Raw genomic sequence first — 17758 nt, forward strand, 5'->3', positions numbered from 1 at the left:
CAGCTGTGGAGCAAAGTGGGACTCAGGGAAATTGTGGCCATGGGATGTACTTTTGTGGAGTATCTGAAGGGATGGACTCTGGCCGCACCCAGGAATTCTAGCGGGTCTGACTTACCTGAGCCATTTCGTCTCTGCTTCTCATTTTCACTATGAAATCTGGCCTGAGGAGAGTATGTTTTCTGTAAACAGAAAGAAAGTAGGTGGAGTTGAGGACCCTTGGTTCTTTGGCTGAGGGAGGGGTGATATATTCACAATGTATCTGAGTCTTTTGGCCACTGAAGGGACTGGTCAGAGTCAAAGTCCTCTCCAGAGAAAGAAATTACCATAGTCTTTGGAATGGATGTGTGTGTGTGTGTGTATGTGTGTGTGCCCACATGCGTATTTATGAGACTCATGCTCTTTTTTAAAAAATAAACTTTATTATTTTTAAAAACAGTTTTAGATTTAGGGAAAAGTTAACAAGATAGTACAGAGAGTTCTCTTATACTCCACACCCAATTTCCCTGTTATTAACACCTTACATATATGCAGCTGTACATGTGAGTTGTATGGTGCATTTGGTACAATTAATAGACCATATTGATGCATTATTACTAACTAAAGTGCATACTTTATTCAGATTTCCTGAGTTTTTACCTAATGTCCCTTTTCTGTTCCAGGATCCCTCCAGACTACTACGTCACATTCAGTCATCATGTCCCCTCTGGCTGCCTTGGCTGTGACAGTTTCTCAGACTTTCTTTGTTTTGGATGACTCGCACAGTTTCTTAGAGTCCTGAGGCCCATATTCTTTTAGGTTGAGCTCACGCCCATGCTGTTCCTTTGGCCTGGACTGCCTTCTTCTTACCTTCCTGGCAAAGTCCTCATTCTTCAAGGGCCAAGTCAGAAGGCTTCAGGGCTTGGTCCTTAGGGCCAGTTCTTGGACATCTTCTCTTCTCTCTTTACACTCTCAGAGCTTTAAAGAGAACTCTAAGCCAACATTCCCCTAATACATTATATATTTTCAATCTTGACTGTGCTTCTGAGCTTTGACCTTGTCCAATCAGCTACCTGACATCTCCACTTGAAAGTCTAATAGGCACCTGAAACTCACCATGGCCCAAACAGAACTCTTGACACCCCAAGCCTCCAACATGTGCCTCCCCTGTCTCCCAGATCTCAGCACATGGCTCTACTCTGACCCTGTTGCTCAGACCAGGAGGCTGGGAGTCTTCCTTGCCCTGTCTTCCTGCAACCCCACAGTTGTCTGATCTTCCAAGCCTGGTGAGTCCACCTTCCAATGAATTTCTGGAGTCCATCCACTTCTCCCAGGCCTCCATGCCACCACCTTAGCCTGAGTACCACTGAATGCCTGGATACCAACAGTAATTTGTTCTCTGTATTAGTCAGTTTTCACACTGCTATAAAGATACTACCTGAGACTGGGTAATTTATAAACAAAAATGTTTAATTGGCTCACAGTTCCAAATGGTTGGAGAGGCTCCAGGAACTTATAATTATGGTGAAAAGTGAAGGGGAAGCAAGGCATATTTTACATGGCAGCAGGAGAGACAGAGAGAGAGTGCACGCAAGGAAGTGCCACACTTTAAAGCCATCAGCTCTTGTGAGAACTCACTCACTGTCACGAGAACAGCATGGGGGAATCTGCCCCCATGATCTAATCACCTCCCACTAGGTCCCTCCCTTGACATGTGGGGATTGCAATTTGAGATGAGATTTGGGTGAGGACACAGAGCCAAACCATATCACTCTCCTTCAAGTCGTTCTCCACAAAGACTCCAGATTGAGCTTTTAAAGCGTAACTCAGACCCTGATTCTGCCCTCCTTGGAACCCTTCTGTGTCATGTTTTCCCTTTGCATTGGGGACTCAAACCCACATGCCTTCACCAGGCCTACAAGGCCTCTGCAGCCTGGCTTCTCCCTGTGAGCCTCTCAAATTCCATCTGTTTGTTCCTTCCACTGTGCAAGGGCTTGGATACCTCAGTGAACACAACAAAGGCCTCTGTTCTTGCAGCGTTCACGTTCACATTCTAGAGTGGGAGATAGACAGTAAGCATGATGAATAAGTAAGGTAGACAGTGTGGAAGGAGAACAGAGAGACGCTGGGAAAAAGGGAGTGTAGAGAAGGGAAAGGGGGTGGCTGGTGGCAAGTGGGGACCACCTGTGGTCATAAATAGATGCTCAGTTCAGACAGGTCTCAATGGGAAGATGAGACATGGACATAGACTTGAAAGAAGCTGGGAGTTAGCCAAGCAGATGTCCTGGGGCAGGGTCAGCGGTTAATGCAAAGGTTCCGAGCTGGGCTGTGCCCGGCATATTCAGGAGCAGCAAGGAGGTCAGGGTGGCCGAAGTGGAGGGAACACTGGGGCAGTCACATGAGAGAAGGTCAGTGAGGAGACAGGGGCCAACTTCCTCCATGCCTCATACTCCAACCACTGAGAACTCTCTGGGTTCCCTGAAAGCCATGGCTTCTCTCAGCTGCCAGCTTCTGCAGGAACTGTTCCCTTCACCTGGGAAGCTCCCGCATTCTGCCTGGCTCACTCCTTCTCATCCTTTAGGTCTTGGCAGAAATGCTACTTCCTCAGGGAGGTGCCCCTCAACCACGTGCTCCCGTAGCATGCAGACTTCCCCTATGTTAATACTTCCCACCTAATTATGACTCTTTCAGCCCTGCTTCCTTCACCATACTGTACTCGCCTTGAAGAGGGATTGGGTTCTATTCACAGCTGTCTCCCCAGGGCCCAGCCTGGAGCTGTGCTTGGAGTGGACATTCAATAAAGACTTATTGAGGGAATGAATGAATCAGTGAATGAGGGAATGCAGCCACATAAAGGCCTCTGTGCTGTATGGGAAAGTGGGTAATTCCCCAGAGAGTGAGTCAGGGCCAGAACCAGGGGAGGCCTCAGCTGTGGCCTGCTCAGGGATGATCAGGGTGAACAGAATTGCCTGGGGTCCTGGTGTTTCCCCTGGGGGTTCCAATTTTGAACTCCACCACCAAGGAGGGGATAGAAGAGGGAGAGTGTTCGTGGTTTGGAAGTATCTTTTGTGTTTTTTAATGAAAGGCTTAAGGGAGCAAGTAACCTTAATCTGTGGAAGAAAATTTCAAGACATAGAAAATGGACCTAGTCTAGAGAATCCAGAAGGGATCTAAGCTGCTGCTCAGCTCTCTTCACACAGACCTGGGAAGTTGGGCTGGGTCCCAAGGGCAACATTAGCATCACAAAGCCAGAATTTCAGAAGAAGCAGCTCCCAGACCTGGAGTTCAAAGAAGTGTTCCTTGCCTCAGGGATTTGACCCTGCCTAGGACTGGCAAATTGACTTTACTCACATGCCCCGAGTCAGGAAACTAAAATACCTCTTGGTCTAGATAGACACTTTCACTGGATAGGTAGAGGCCTTTCCCACAGGGTCTGAGAAGGCCACCGCGGTCATTTCTTCCCTTCTCTCAGACATAATTCCTCGGTTTGGCCTTCCCACCTCTATACAGTCCGATAACGGACCGGCCTTTATTAGTCAAATCACCCAAGCAGTTTCTTAGTCTCTTGGTATTCAGTGGAAACTTCATACCCCTTACCATCCTCAATCTTCAGGAAAGGTAGAACGGACTAATGGTCTTTTAAAGACACACCTCACCAAGCTCAGCCTCCAACTTAAAAAGGACTGGACAGTACTTTTACCTCTTGCCCTTCTCAAAATTAGAGCCTGTCCTCAAGATGTTACAGGGTAAAGTCCATTTGAACTTTTATATGGACGCACTTTCTTGCTGGGCCCCAATCTCATCCCAGACACCAGCCTTCTAGGCAACTATCTTCCAGTCCTCCAGTAGGCTAGACAGGAAATTCATCAGACTGCTAATCTTCTCTTGCATACTCCAGATTCCCAGCCTTATAAAGACACCCTAGCTGGACAATCAGTTCTTAAGAATCTGACCCCTCAAACTCTACAACCTCGGTGGACCGGACCCCACTCAGTCATCTATAGTACTCCAACTGCCTTCTGCCTGCAGGACCCTCCCCATTGGGTTCACCGTTCCAGAATAAAGCTGTGTCCATTGGACAGCCAGCCTGATCTCTCCTCTTCCTCCTGGAAGTCGCAAGTGCTCTCCCCTACTTCCCTTAAACTCACTCGCATTTCTGAAGAGCAGTAATAACGCTTATGAGCCTAATACATCCCTTCATTCTATTAGGTCTATTCGTCCTTACCCTACTTTTTGCAACAGGGCTTTATACAGTCACCCCCACTACTTGGACTGCACCCCAAAAACTTGTCATCCCTACTATCTGCTGTCTAGTCATACTCCTATTCACCATTCTCAACTACTTGTAAATGCCCTGCCCTTGTTTACACTGCCGGTTTACACTTTTCCTCCAAACCATCATAACTGATATCTCCTGGTTTTACCTCAAACAACCACCCTTAAGTCTCTCTTGAAGCGGATAGAAGATCTTCAGTGGCAAGGTACACTCCAATTCTTCTATCCTGACGAAGTCCTTTTTTTTTTTACTTTTCTACTCACTCTTATCCTTGCCCCTGTTCTCCAGTCGCTCCCTACCCTTCCCTAATTACCTCTAACATACTATCAATCTCACTCACTCCCTCCTCACCATTTCTAATTCCTCCTTAGCGAACAATTGCTGGCTTAGCATTTCCGTTTCTTCCTGCTCTTACACAGCCGTCCGCGCCCTACAGGTTGACTGGACTACCTCTCCCTCTCCCTGCACCTCCGAACCTCCTTTAATAGCCCTCATCTTTACCTGCCTGAGGAACTTCTTTACTTTCTGGATGGATTTGTTGAGAACTGCCCAGACATTTCGCACCAACAAGCTGCCACACTTATCCGCATCTACTTACGGCACCTTTCTCCTTATGTCAGTTCCACCCCTCCCCCCCACCATATTTGGACCCCTCACAACACAAACTACTATCCCTGTTTCCTCTCCTTTGTGCATCTCTCGGCAAAGACCCACCAGAATTCCCTTAGGTAACCTTTCACCTTCTCTATGCTCTTTCCCTCTTCATCTCCAAAGCCCAACTATGGACATTACCAAAACCATTAGGGGCTTTTCAGCTCCGCATTACAGATAAGCCCTGTGTCAATACTGACAAACGTAAAAACATTAGCAGTTACTATTGCTTAGGAAGACATTTGCCCTGCATTTCATTCCATCCTTGGCTACCTTCCCCTTGTTCTTTGGACTCTCCTCCCAGCCCCTCTTCTTGTTTACTTGTACCCAACCTCATGAATAGCAGTGAAAGATTGCTTGTAGGCACTTTCTCATACACCATGAAAATCAAACCTCCCCCTCTACCCAGTTGCCCCATCAATCCCCAGTACAACCTCTAACGGCAGCTGCCCTCGCTGGATCCGTAGGACTCTGGGTGCAAGACATCTCTTTTGGTGCTCCCTCTCATCTTTTCACTTTACATTTCCAGTTTTGCCTTACACAAGGTCTCTTCTTCCTCTGTGGCTTCTCCACCTATATGTGTCTACCTTGTTAATTGGACAGGCACATGTACACTAGTTTTCCTTACCTCCCAAAATCAATTTGCAAATAGGTCCGAACAGCTTCCTGGTCCCCTGATGACACCAACACTTCACTGTTGTTTTGTTTTTCTTATTAATATAAGAAGACAGGAATAGGCCTCCACTTACTCACTGCTGAAAAAAGAGGACTGTATATTTTCAAATGAAGAGTGTTGTTTTTACCTAAATCAATCTGGCTTGATATATGACAACACAAAAAAACTCAAGGATAGAGCCCCAAAACTTGCCAACCAAACAGATAATTACACTGAACCCCCTTGGACACTCTTTAATTGGATGTCCTGGGTCCTTCCAATTCTTAGTCCTTTAATACCTGTTTTCCTCCTTCTTTTATTTGGACCTTGTGTCTTCCGTTTAGTTTCTCAATTCATACAAAACAGCATCCAGGCCATCACCAATCATTCTATATGACAAATGCTCCTTCTAACAACCCCACAATATCACCCCTTACCCCCAAATCTTTCTTCAGTTTAATCTCTCCCACTCTAGGTTCCCACACCCCCCCAGTCCCACTCGAAGCAGCCCTGAGAAACATCGCCCATTATCTCTCCATACCACCCCCAAAAATTTTCACCGCCCCAACCCTTCACCACCATTTTGTTTTGTTTTTCTTATTAATATAAGAAGACAGGAATGTCAGGCCTCTGATCCCAAGCTAACCCATCATATCCCCTGTGACCTGCACGTTTACATCCAGATGGCCTGAAGCACCTGAAGATCCACAGAAGAAGTGAAATTAGCCAGGTCCTGCCTTAACTGATGACATTCCACCATTTGATTTGTTCCTGCCCCACCTTAACTGATCAATTGATCTTATGACAATACACCCTCCCTGCCCTTGCGATAATGTATATTCCCTTGCCCTTAAGAAGGTATGTTGTAATAGTCTCCCCGCCCTTGAGAATGTACTTTTTAAGATCCACCCCCTGCCTGTAAAAAATTGCTCCTAACTCCACCGCCTATCCCAAACCTATAAGAACTAATGATAATCCCACCACCCTTTGCTGACTCTCTTTTCGGACTCAGCCCGCCTGCACCCAAGTGAAATAAACAGCCTTGTTGCGTGCACACACACACACACACAAGAAATGTCACTTGCACACCTGCCAACCCCCTTCCATGCAAGACTTGTTGGAAAATAAGGCCAACCTGTATCCAGTGGAACCTCAGTGGCCAAGGCAGAGGGCTCTCTCCCTTCAATGGTTGGCATTTGGTGAGTGAGAGAATCTCCACCTAGATCATTCCTGATGCATTACTGATAACTGATAGTCTTTTCCAAGGACGATGCTGAAAAATATGGCCAACTGTCATTTGTTCTCACCGTTTCCAAATCGGGAGATGCTGGCTTAATTATAATTTTGGTTAGTGAAAGTTAGCAGACATAAATTCCAGAGGAAATACTATTGTGTAATGTACAATATGCCCCAATACAACTGGGCACAACTCAATCTTCCCTGAGGCAAAGACATCTGCATTCCTCCTGTCCTTCCTGTGGCCTCCGCCTGCCTCTTTTTCATGTCCTGATTGTTGAGAAAAACCTCTTGGCATTGGTCACTGGTGGCCTCAATGATCCTATCCCCAAATCCTCCTCTTCCCCAGTTTGTCCTATTGCTTCTCCTAGAGGCTGAGACCTCAATGTGAAAGTGTCAAGGAGACCAACCATGGGCCCAATCCACATCTGCCATAGTCTTCCCCATGCACCGAGGAGCATTTAAGGGACCTTGCTTTATTTGTTTTTAAACATTTAAAAATTGAGGTGTAGGCTGGGTGCGGTGGCTCACGCCTGTAATCCCAGCACTTTGGGAGGCTAAGGTGGGCAGATGGCGTGAGCTCAGGAGTTCGAGACCAGCCTGGTCAACATGAAGAAACCCTGTTTCTACTAAAAATACAAAAAATTAGCCGGACCTGGTGATGGGTGCCTGTAATCCCAGCTACTAGAGAGGCTGAGGCAGGAGAATCGCTTGAACCTGGGAGGTGGAGGTTGCAGTGAGCCCAGATCGTGCCACTGCACTCCAGCCTGGGTGACAGAGCCAGACTCGGTCTCAAAAAAAAAAAAAAATTGAGGTGTAGCATAAAGTCCATTGTGCAGCTCAGTGAGGTTTTATATATGTGTTCACACACATAACCACCTCCAAGATCAAGATATAAAACAAGATTGGCTTGCTTTATATCTTGATATATATGACAAAATATATATCAAGACTGACTGCACCCCAGTCAATACCTACTTTCTCCCAGGGTAAGAGCCATTCTGGCCTCTGTCACTACAGATTCATTTCTCTTGCTCTAGAACTTCACATCAATGGAATAATAAAATGTGCTCATTTTGGCCTGGCTTTTTTACTCAGCCGTGTGTTTGAGATTCATCAGTGTGGCTGCCTGTGTCAGTAGTTCATTCCTCTTGATTTCTGACTTAAGTATTCCATTTGGTGGCTATGTCACAGTTTGCTGATACATTCTCCTGAGAACGAACATTTGGATGGTTTCCAGTTTTTGGCTATCACTCCTAAAGCTGCTATGAACAACTTTCCATGAATTTTTGGGTCAAAATGAGTGCTCATTTCTGTTGGGCAGATATCCAGCAGTGGACTTGGGGGATCATAAGTAGGTGAATGTTTAGCTATAGTGGATACTGCCAACAATGATTGTGTCACTTTGTATTGTACTTTTGACATCTTTACAACATAGATTTTTGGGGACACATTCAGGTCACTCCCATACACAATGCTTTGGATTGGCAGGGAGGAGGGAGGTGTTAGCAAAATTGCATCGCTGATAAACACAGATGGGCCTGAATTCTGAATTTGGAGCTCAGGGTATTTGTCCTTAAAATCTGGAGTGAATCAGTTGGAGGTATGTCTCTAGACGTCTTTATTTACACCTCCATTAGACTGTAAACACTATGAGAATAGGAATTGTAACTTATTCAGGGATGTGTCTGCAATGCCTAGCACAGTTCTTGGCACATAGGTGCTTTGTAAATAAAAATTAATAAATTATTAACTTAATAATTGTAGCAAACAGCTATCGAGCACATTCTAGTGCTAGGCACTGTGACATGACTACCGATATGGTCTCATTTAAACCTCATGAAAGTCCTCTGAGATTAGGGAAGAGTGAAGTTCTTGTTTTACAGATGAGGAAGAAAGCTGAGGCCTTCGGCAGGTTAAGATACACAGCTGGATGGAAATAAAAAAATAAAAAAGATACACAGCTGGCAAGTGGCAGCTTTGTAATTAGACTTGAGGCAGTCTGACTCAGGAGCTTTTGTGTGTGTGTGAGATGGCAAGAGCCTGCACCCATTTTACAGAGGAGGAAACTGAGGCTCAGTGAGGTTAAGGAACCCTTCTCCCTGGAGTCAGCTGTGCCAGCCTCCCTACCTGGCTTATTCTTAAAGGTTGAATATATGTAATGCAGAGCCCTGGCTGCTGCCCTCCTCTACAACCTCCACTCTCTGGAGCCCACAGCCACTGGATGTCGCAACGCTCACCCCGAGCCTCCACCTCAGTGCTTCACTCTCACAAAGCCACCCTGTTGTGAGGTGACGCCTGCCACCTCTCTTTTCCATCCCCAGGGATGGAGAGAATCAGACCCAGCAATCCTTCCTTTAAAGTGCTGGGCTCTGTTTGGAGCAGGCGCCCAGCCCTGGGACTTGTTCCTTTGCAGGGGTCCACTTACATCACATGGGTGTTGAGTTCTCAGCCGAGGTGCAGTAATGAGGGCACTGTTTTCTATCAAAGGAGGCCTCTACAGTTCTGGTCTCCAGGGCCTTCTCACGCCTCCATTCATTCAGCCCCTTAGGTCTCAGAGACCCAGAAAACTGCCTTCCTGGAACTCAAGCTGAGGCCCTGGGTGGGAGCCACCCACCCCCCAGCAGGCAGCAGCAGCAATCTTTTTTTCCATACCTGGACTTGGTGCATGGGTTGTTTCATTCCCCTTAAATGCTTGCAAAATAGTTCACACAAGTAATACATAAATCCACTGCTACTGTAAACATTCGGAACAACTCAGTTGCATACACATTTTAAAAAGTAACATTTCTCCTTACTGTCCCAGCCATGCCCCAATCTCACCCCTTTCCCTGAGTCATCACTCTTTTTGATGCTGCATGTGTGAGTTTTGTCGTTTTTCTGCAGCTTCCTTTTTAAACTCTGTGGTATGTCTTGGAGATATTTCTATGTTGGTATATGTAGATCCACCTCACTCTTCTGATCTACTACAGTGTAAACCACAGTGTGATGCCCCATGGTTTTTTTTTTAAACCATTACGCTTTAGTTGGACATTTAGGTTGCTTCCAATTTTTCTTTTCTTTTTCTTTTTTTTGAGACGGAGTTTTGCTCTTGTCGCCCAGGCTGGAGTGCGATGCTGGGATCTCGGCTCACTGTGACCTCCGCCTCCCAGGTTCAAGCAATTCTCCTGCCTCAGCCTCCCGAGTAGCTGGGATTACAGGCATGTACCACCATGCCTGGCTAATTTTTGTATTTTTAGTAGAGATGGGTTTTCACCATGTTGGCCAGGCTGGTCTCAAACTCCTGACCTCAAATCATCCGCCTGCCTCAGCCTCCCAAAGTGCTGGGATTATAGGCATGAGCCATCGCACCTAGCCTCAATTTTTCACTATTACAAATAATTCTACTCCAAACACCCTTATGCTTGCTGCCTTTCTGTCCACATGGGTGAATATTTCTCTAGGGCAGACACTGGGAAGTGGAAATGCTAGACCAGGAAGTACATGTATTTAAGTTTTAGTAGATGCTGCCAAATTATCTTCCAAAATGGCTGCATTTTCCATACTTGCCATCCGTGCCTGAGATTATGGGATTGTCCACACCTTCAGCAAGGCTTTATGTTATGAATCTAGGTTTGTCTCCTGAAAACTAATCTCTAGTGTTAGAAGTCGGGATAGTGGTTGCCCCTGTGGAGGGCAATAGTGGATGGGAAGGGGCAGGAGGGACTTCCAGGGTGCTGTTGATGTTCTGTTTCTTGATCTGAGTGGTGGTTACACAGGTATTTTCAGTTTCTAAAAATGTGTTAAGTGGTATACTTAAAACAAGTGCACCATTTTTTTTTTTTTTTTTTTTTTTTTTTTTTTTTTTTTTTGAGACGGGATCCCGCTCTGTCACCTAGGCTGGAATGCTGTGGTGTGATCTCGGCTTACTGCAACATTTGCCTCCTGGATTCAAGTGATTCTCCTGCACCCAGCTAATTTTTTGCATTTTTAGTAGAAATGGGGTTTCACCATGTTGGTCAGGCTGGCCTCAAACTAGTGACCTCCAGTGATCCTCCCGCCTCAGCCTCCCAAAGTTCTGGGATTACAGACATGAGCCACCATGCCCAGCCCAGGTGCAGTATTAAATATGCGTGTTATTCTTCGGCAAAAAGTTCAATTTACCCCCCACCCCTGCAATTTAATGGGTGATAGGACAATATCCCATGATTATTTCATTTTGGAGATTGAGCCTTCTTTTGATATTTGGCCTTCTGGATTCCTTCTTCTGGGTCTTTTGATAGTGCTTTGCCTGACAGGGGAAACCCTTTTTTGGAAAGGGGAAAAGGGGCTTGACTGTTTTCTGAGCATCTACTATATAGATGCTCTCGAATCCTCACAGCAACCTTTCAGGGTAGGTACTGTTTACCCCATTTTACAGACAAGGAGGTGAGGCCTCAGAGAAGACCTGCCCGAGGTCATAAAATATCTGACTGCAGAGTCCTATCTTCCTCTCTGTCTTTTAAGTGACAGCTGCTCATGCGACAGGCTTTGGGCTACCCATGCAGCAGGCATGATCTTAACTAACCCCTGCAACAGCCCAGTGTGGCAGCTATATCGTCATCCCATTTTACAGATGAGAATAGTGAGGCTCAAAAAAGTTGAGTGAATTTTGCTCAGCTCCTTCAGTGATGGAGCAGGTTTGAGCCCAGGTCAGCCTGGCTCCAAAGCTGGGACAGGGAATTCGATAGAATGTTCTGAGAGGATGGATATGTTCACTGTCTTTCTGAGAACATGGTAGCCACTAGCCACATGCGACTATTTAAGACTTGAGATGTGGCTAGTGCAACTGAGGAGCTGAAATTTTAGTCTTATTTAATCATAATTAATTAAGTGGACTGCTTTGGATGGTGCAGCTCTAAGGAGACAGATCAGGGGGAGAAATGCCACAGGGGGCAGGCAAAGAGAACAGAGCTGCCACCAGGTGGGAAGCCTCCAGCCCACCACAAGGGACTCACTGAAGGACCCCCACAGGACCCGACAAAACCCTCACAGGTCTCCCTTCGGGCACCAGAGCCATGCCCTGTGGAAAGAGCCAGCGTTTTGTAATCAGATGCAGCCTTACCAAGCCTCTTAACCTAAGACTCAGGTTCCTCGTGTATAAAATAAGCATCAAAATAGCGCTCGTTTTAATATTGAATGAGAGAATACACAGTGCCTGGCACATAATTGGTACTCAATAGGCTATTTAATAATCACATTATTATTACCACAATTCTGTTATTGATCATAGGCTCACTTTTAAGCTTTTAAATAAGCATTTTCATTATATAATGATAAAGCCATTTAAATTATTATTCACAGTTATTAAACAATGCAGATGGGTGTAAAGTGCAACCCCCCAAATCTCCAAATACTTCAACCCCACATCCTCCTCCCAGAAAAAACTGATGTAAGTAATTTCTTATGCATCTCTCCAGGAATTGTCTCTGCTTCTATAAACATCTAGAATGATTCTGATCTATCTTTTAGAAAGTGCAGATGGGCTCACACTGAATGTGCCAGGCTACACCTTGCTTTGTCACTCTATGGCACATCGAGGACATGTTTACACACGTGCACATTCAGACTCACATTATCTACTGTTTGCACAATGTTTCATAGCAGAGGTCATTGGTAACTTATTTTAGTGGTCCTAACTGATGGATATGTAAGTGGTTGCCATATATTTTGCTGTTATGAGGAAGGTTTCAATGAATATCCCACATGTATCTTTCTGTACATGGGCAAGCGCACCCACCCAGAGGGTAAATTCTTACCATTGGGATTTCTAGGTCAATGGCTGGGATATTTTCCACTGTGCTGGATCTTGGTATATGTACAATCGCATGTTAAACTTCTCAAAAGTACTGGATTTTAAAGGAATATTCTGACAAGTTCTTCTGAAAAGATTCTTCAAGTCATGCTAATAATCACCCCGGAATGTATTTGCTGGGTGGGTTTGGAATTTTGGCAAAAACTGATATTTTCGTTAAGCAGATCTGGTTTTCAAAGTCTTTGTGGTGTAAACGTGGATGGGGCCGGGAGAGGGGACTTGGCAAGGGGGCTCCTGGAGGTCAAGGAACTGGATCCCTACTAATCCCATCTCAGGCAGGCTGGAGCAGAGGGAGAAAATTCTGCCTTCCTGGGAGGCCAATCCTGTATGAGGCAGAGCTTTGAGAGCTTGTGAAATAACACACCAGGAAGCTGCTGAGTCTGTGGCTTAGGGCAGGGAAGGGGGAAGAGAGAAGACACCCAACAGGCTTTGCCAATGACTGGACAAGGGCAGTTCTCAGCAGGTGAAATCCAAACGGTCCACAAACGTAAGAAAGATGCTCTGCCTCCCCAGAAATCAAAGAAAATGCACGCTCAAGCAACAATGGGGTATTATCTTTCACCTATCAGATTGGCAAAAATGAAAATATAACGATACTCAGTGTTGGAGAGGGTGTGAGGAAACAGACACTCTGGTGTGCTCCTGGAGGGAGTGTTGATAGTACAGGTGTCCTGCAGGGAAACGTGCGTTGAAAGCCCTACAAACCAGGCAGATATCTGTGCTTTTCCATTTCTAAGAATTTAAGAAAATAATTGAACACATTTCACAAAGATATATGGTCAAGAATGTGCATGAACAAGCATTGTTCAAGATAATAAAAAGATCGGCAATATGGTAAACGTCCAGCGATAGGGGATTGATTAAATTGTACTATTTCTATACAATGTAACAGTCTGTGGCTAAGAAGGATGTTGTAGACCTAGGTTTACTAACATGGAAGATGTCCACTATCTATTTAGAAAAATTAAGTGAAAAAAACAGGTTACAGGATTGGTTATATATTTTGTTACACATGTAGTGTTACTTTATGTATTCAGTCTTACATATCTATATTTATCTCTATGTAGTATTACTTATATCAATTAAAGTAATGGCAAAACTACAATGACTTTTCCACCAACCTAATATATACATGTTTGTGGGTATAGATATGTGTATATACATGTTTGTGGGTGTAGATATGTGTATATGTATGTGTGTCCATACATAGGTATGTTATGTGAATTTATGTGAATAATGTTTGGAAGAATATGAACCAAAATGTCCCCAGTGATTATAAACAAGTGGTGGGGAATTTTATTCATTAATTAATGTATTCATTCATTTTCATAGTTCTCTGCATTTCTTGAGTTTCGTTTTTTCAATGAACCTGTGTTTTATAATTAGAGAAATGCTTTGTTATATTGGTTTAGGAAATAAAGGAAGTTGATAACTCTGCCTCAACTGTATTAAGCAGTCTAAATGCAATTATTTCCCCATACCAACACTGTCCCCTGCGCTTGTGCACATTAGAAGCTCCCTATGATCCCAGGCCTGTCTTTAGTTATGATGAGAATAATGAGAAGGAGGACAATGATGTTCGTATACTGAACACCTACTATGTGCCAGGCATTGGCTGAGTCCTTCATGTGCATTCTATTATTGGATGCTCACCGTGGCCCAAGTGGTAGGTACCATCATGTCTTTAGATTTTCTAGGAGAGCTTGAAATGGGGACTTGCTGCAAGTGACTTCTTGAGGGACAGCTCTCATGGGAAACCTTTAAAAGTGTAAGGGAGGAAAGCAGGATGGAGCAGGAGAAGAAGTTAAGTCAAGATGTGGGCTCAGCTGAAGTCTAGCCTCAGGGGGATGCCGTGGGAAGTCTGGAGAGTAGATGGCACTGCAGCATCATCCCCCCATAGGCAAGGGGGCTGGGCTTTTGTACCTCCATATCTGTTGGTCATTGGCTATAGGACAATGGGAAGAGGGTAACCTGCAAGATGGGCTCAACCCCCAAAGTATCTCTAAGTGAGGTACTTCCCAGCATCCATGGGTGATTGTCTGAGAAGGGTGCAGCTGTGAGCAATCAGCACTCACAGTAACAGGCATGTGGGTGTGCTGGATCAATAAAAGGGATGTAGGTGGAGGAGCACCAACCTCCTGCTTTTTACAGATGGGGCTCACAGAGGTTAAGTAACTTCCTCAAGGCTCCCCAACTAGTAACTGGGTTTTGAGCTCCTGTTGGAAGACCATGCTCAGAGCCCTGAAGCTGGACTACTTCTATTTTCACCAAAAGGAAAGAGGTTGAGGCCGTGGGTGGAAGCCCTCCCAATAGCCCCTGCCCCACCAGATGCCCCTCCGCCTGCTCTCTGAGCTTCACACTAGCATGTCGGCTGATGAGCAGTTTCCACCTGGGCTTTTGAAGGAGGGAGCCACAAAAAGCCTTTGTGTTTCTGTAAAGGTCCCTGAAGATTGTACTCTCGGTGGAGCTGGTTGCTAGGAGACATTTCTCAAGAAAGGTTCCTTTGGAAAATGAGCTCAGTCTCTGCCCACAATTCAACATTATTATACTTGGGAGAGTGACATCCCAACTCGTGCTCCCTCCAGAGCATTAAACGCAGATCCAATTCCTTCTCCAACCGGTTCTTCCAGGCCTCAGCTCAGAGCATGTCCTGGGCTGATAACAGGTCCTGTGCCAGACAGACTCAGAATTCTGGAGAGAAAGGGCCCTTTGAGATGATCTGCCTGCACCCTCCATTATATAAGTGGAGAAACTGAGGCACAGAGCACTGAGGGACTCGCACAGTGAGTTAGTGGCAGGGTCATAACTTGTTTCTCTCATTGTTGCACGTGACAGCCTCACCCACTCCCTGGGCCCCATAAGATCAATCAGCGGGACCTCAGGATGTGTGGACTGAATGCACTTTCCTTTATTAATCCTTGTGTTTCAAAGATTTTGGGGAATAAATTATTACTTTGCTCACACGGAGATAAGCAGCTGGCATTTGTTGGGCATCTACTATGTGCTAAACACTGGACTAGGTGCTTCAGGGTCTTCATCTACTAACTCTGACCTCCAGACCATCTTGGAGTTAGTTTCTATTGGCTGCTTTTTTCTTGACTAAGGATCACATTTTCCTGTCTCTTTGCATGTCTAAACAATTTTGATTGTATACTGGAGGTTGTGTGTGTGTGATGTGTTGTGGAGACTCTGGATTTTGTTATCTTTTTCTGATGAGTGTTAGGTTTTGTTTTAGCAGGCAGTACAATTATTAGGTGATCCCTTTGAAGTTCCATGGGCTTGTTTTTGCACTCCTGCAAAGTCCAGGCTCTTTCCAAGTCCCTTTAACTTGGTAGGACTCACCTCCAAACTTTCTCCCCTGAGGGTCTTGAAGGATTTGGTTTTAGGCTTTGTTATGCAGCTCTGGAGTATCCCTTACACCACAGTATAGTCCTCACACCTAAGGCACAGCTTTCTGGTGTCTCAGCTTGATGTCTAGGATGAAGGTCTCTCCAATGTCTCCCAGCCCCAGCTGACTCTCCCAGCCCCAGTTCACTCTTAACCCTATAACAGCTGCTCTCTGGTAAGTCTCAGATAGTCTGACCCTGTGCCTGCAAATCCCAGTCCTTGGGCAAGAACCTGTGGGTCATGGGGGACCCCCACACAGATTTTGGGGCTCCCTATCTATGCGGCTCCCTCCTCTCCAGTGCCCTGTCTTGCAGATTCCTTTTGCTTTAGTTGCTCCAAACCCTGATCTCTGCCTCCTGAGCTCAGAGGGACTACCATGTTCTGTTTGGGCTCCATCGTCCTGTGCCATAGTTGGGAAATTGTCCCAGGATGAGAGTCCAGGTGATGAGGGGCTCACCTTGTAAGTTTCCTTTCCTTCAGAGATCACAGTACCTATTGTCCACTGCCTGAGAACATTGTCTCTTATTTTGCCAAGTGTCAAGTTGTTTTTAGTGGTAGTGCTAGTGTGGCACCAGGTCCTCTATCATGGCTGGAAGTGGAAGTCCAACTCGTAGTGAGACATCCTTACCCCCTCTCTATAATCTTGGAATGCTCACCAGGACCCTGAGAGAAAATGCTTAAGCCTTCACTGAGCCAAGGTTCAGAGGGGTACAGTGACTTGCCAAAAAGGCACAGTAGTAGACCCAAGAATCAGGTTTGCTGAACTTCACAGTCCATGCTTTCTCTTTGTGTGGCCCCTGCTTTCAGTAGAAAAGCTAAAATCAAAACTAAATGTCACTGTCACTATCACCAAGGCAGCAGCATTTTCTGAGTTAATCTATGTATTTTCCTACATCCCAACTCCACTGTATACCTTAATTCCTGTTTCTGCCACTGACCCTCTGGTCTGGGAGGTCATTGCTCTTTGCATGGATGATTATGCTGTTATCTCTTTTTTGTTTGTTTGTTTGAGATGGAGTCTCACTCTGTCACCCAGGCTAGAGTGCAGTGGTACAATCTCGGCTCACTACAACCTCTGTCTCCCAGGCTTAAGTGATTCTCCTGCCTCAGCCTCCCAAGTAGCTGGGATTACAAGCACCTGCCACCATGCCTGGCTAATTTTTGTATTTTTAGTAGAGGCGGGGTTTCACCATGTTGGCCAGGCTGGTCTTGAACTCCTAACCTCAAGTGATCCACCTGCCTTGGCCTTCCAAAGTGCTGGGATTACAGGTGTGAGCCACCATGCCCGGCCTATGCAGACATCTCTTACAGAGCTTCCATTGTGTTCTTCCTAGAACACTTTCGCTGTCTTACTCTCTTGCTCTGCTGCCTTCAATGGCTCCCTATGACCCACAGTGGCACTTCACAAGGTGTAGAATTGAGAGCTGCCCCTTAGGGAATGCTATAGTCTGTAGCTCTCCTTTTGGAGAATCACATCTGGACGTGTGAATACAAGAGGCCCTGCAGGAGAGAAACCTGTTTAAGTGAGCTTAATCCAGTCTGTTGGACCTGAAACTCTTGGCTCACCTAACACTTATTAAAGTCTTGTGGAACACACTGGAAAATGTTGGACCACAGAGTACAGGCTAAAGTTTCTATCTGAATTCCAGCCCTTCTACATTTCAGTCTACTCTCAATTTCCTTTCTTGTGACTTCTTGTCAACAGACCAACCCCCACCCCCAATACCTATTTCTCCCTCCAGCC

The 17758-nt window shown here is 45.5% G+C and overlaps 1 protein-coding gene across 1 annotated transcript in view; it reads right to left on the reverse strand.

The window, feature by feature from the left end:
- Positions 1-17758, reverse strand: part of FAM107A (family with sequence similarity 107 member A) — a 63494-nt gene that overhangs the window by 24974 nt on the left and 20762 nt on the right. Inside the window, exon 2 of the mRNA NM_001282714.2 lies at positions 116-179. Within this exon, the coding sequence (NP_001269643.1) occupies positions 116-179 (64 nt within the window). The remainder of the gene's footprint in view (positions 1-115; positions 180-17758) is intronic.

The sequence above is a fragment of the Homo sapiens genome, chromosome 3 (assembly GCF_000001405.40).
Source record: "Homo sapiens chromosome 3, GRCh38.p14 Primary Assembly".
NCBI lineage: Eukaryota > Metazoa > Chordata > Mammalia > Primates > Hominidae > Homo > Homo sapiens.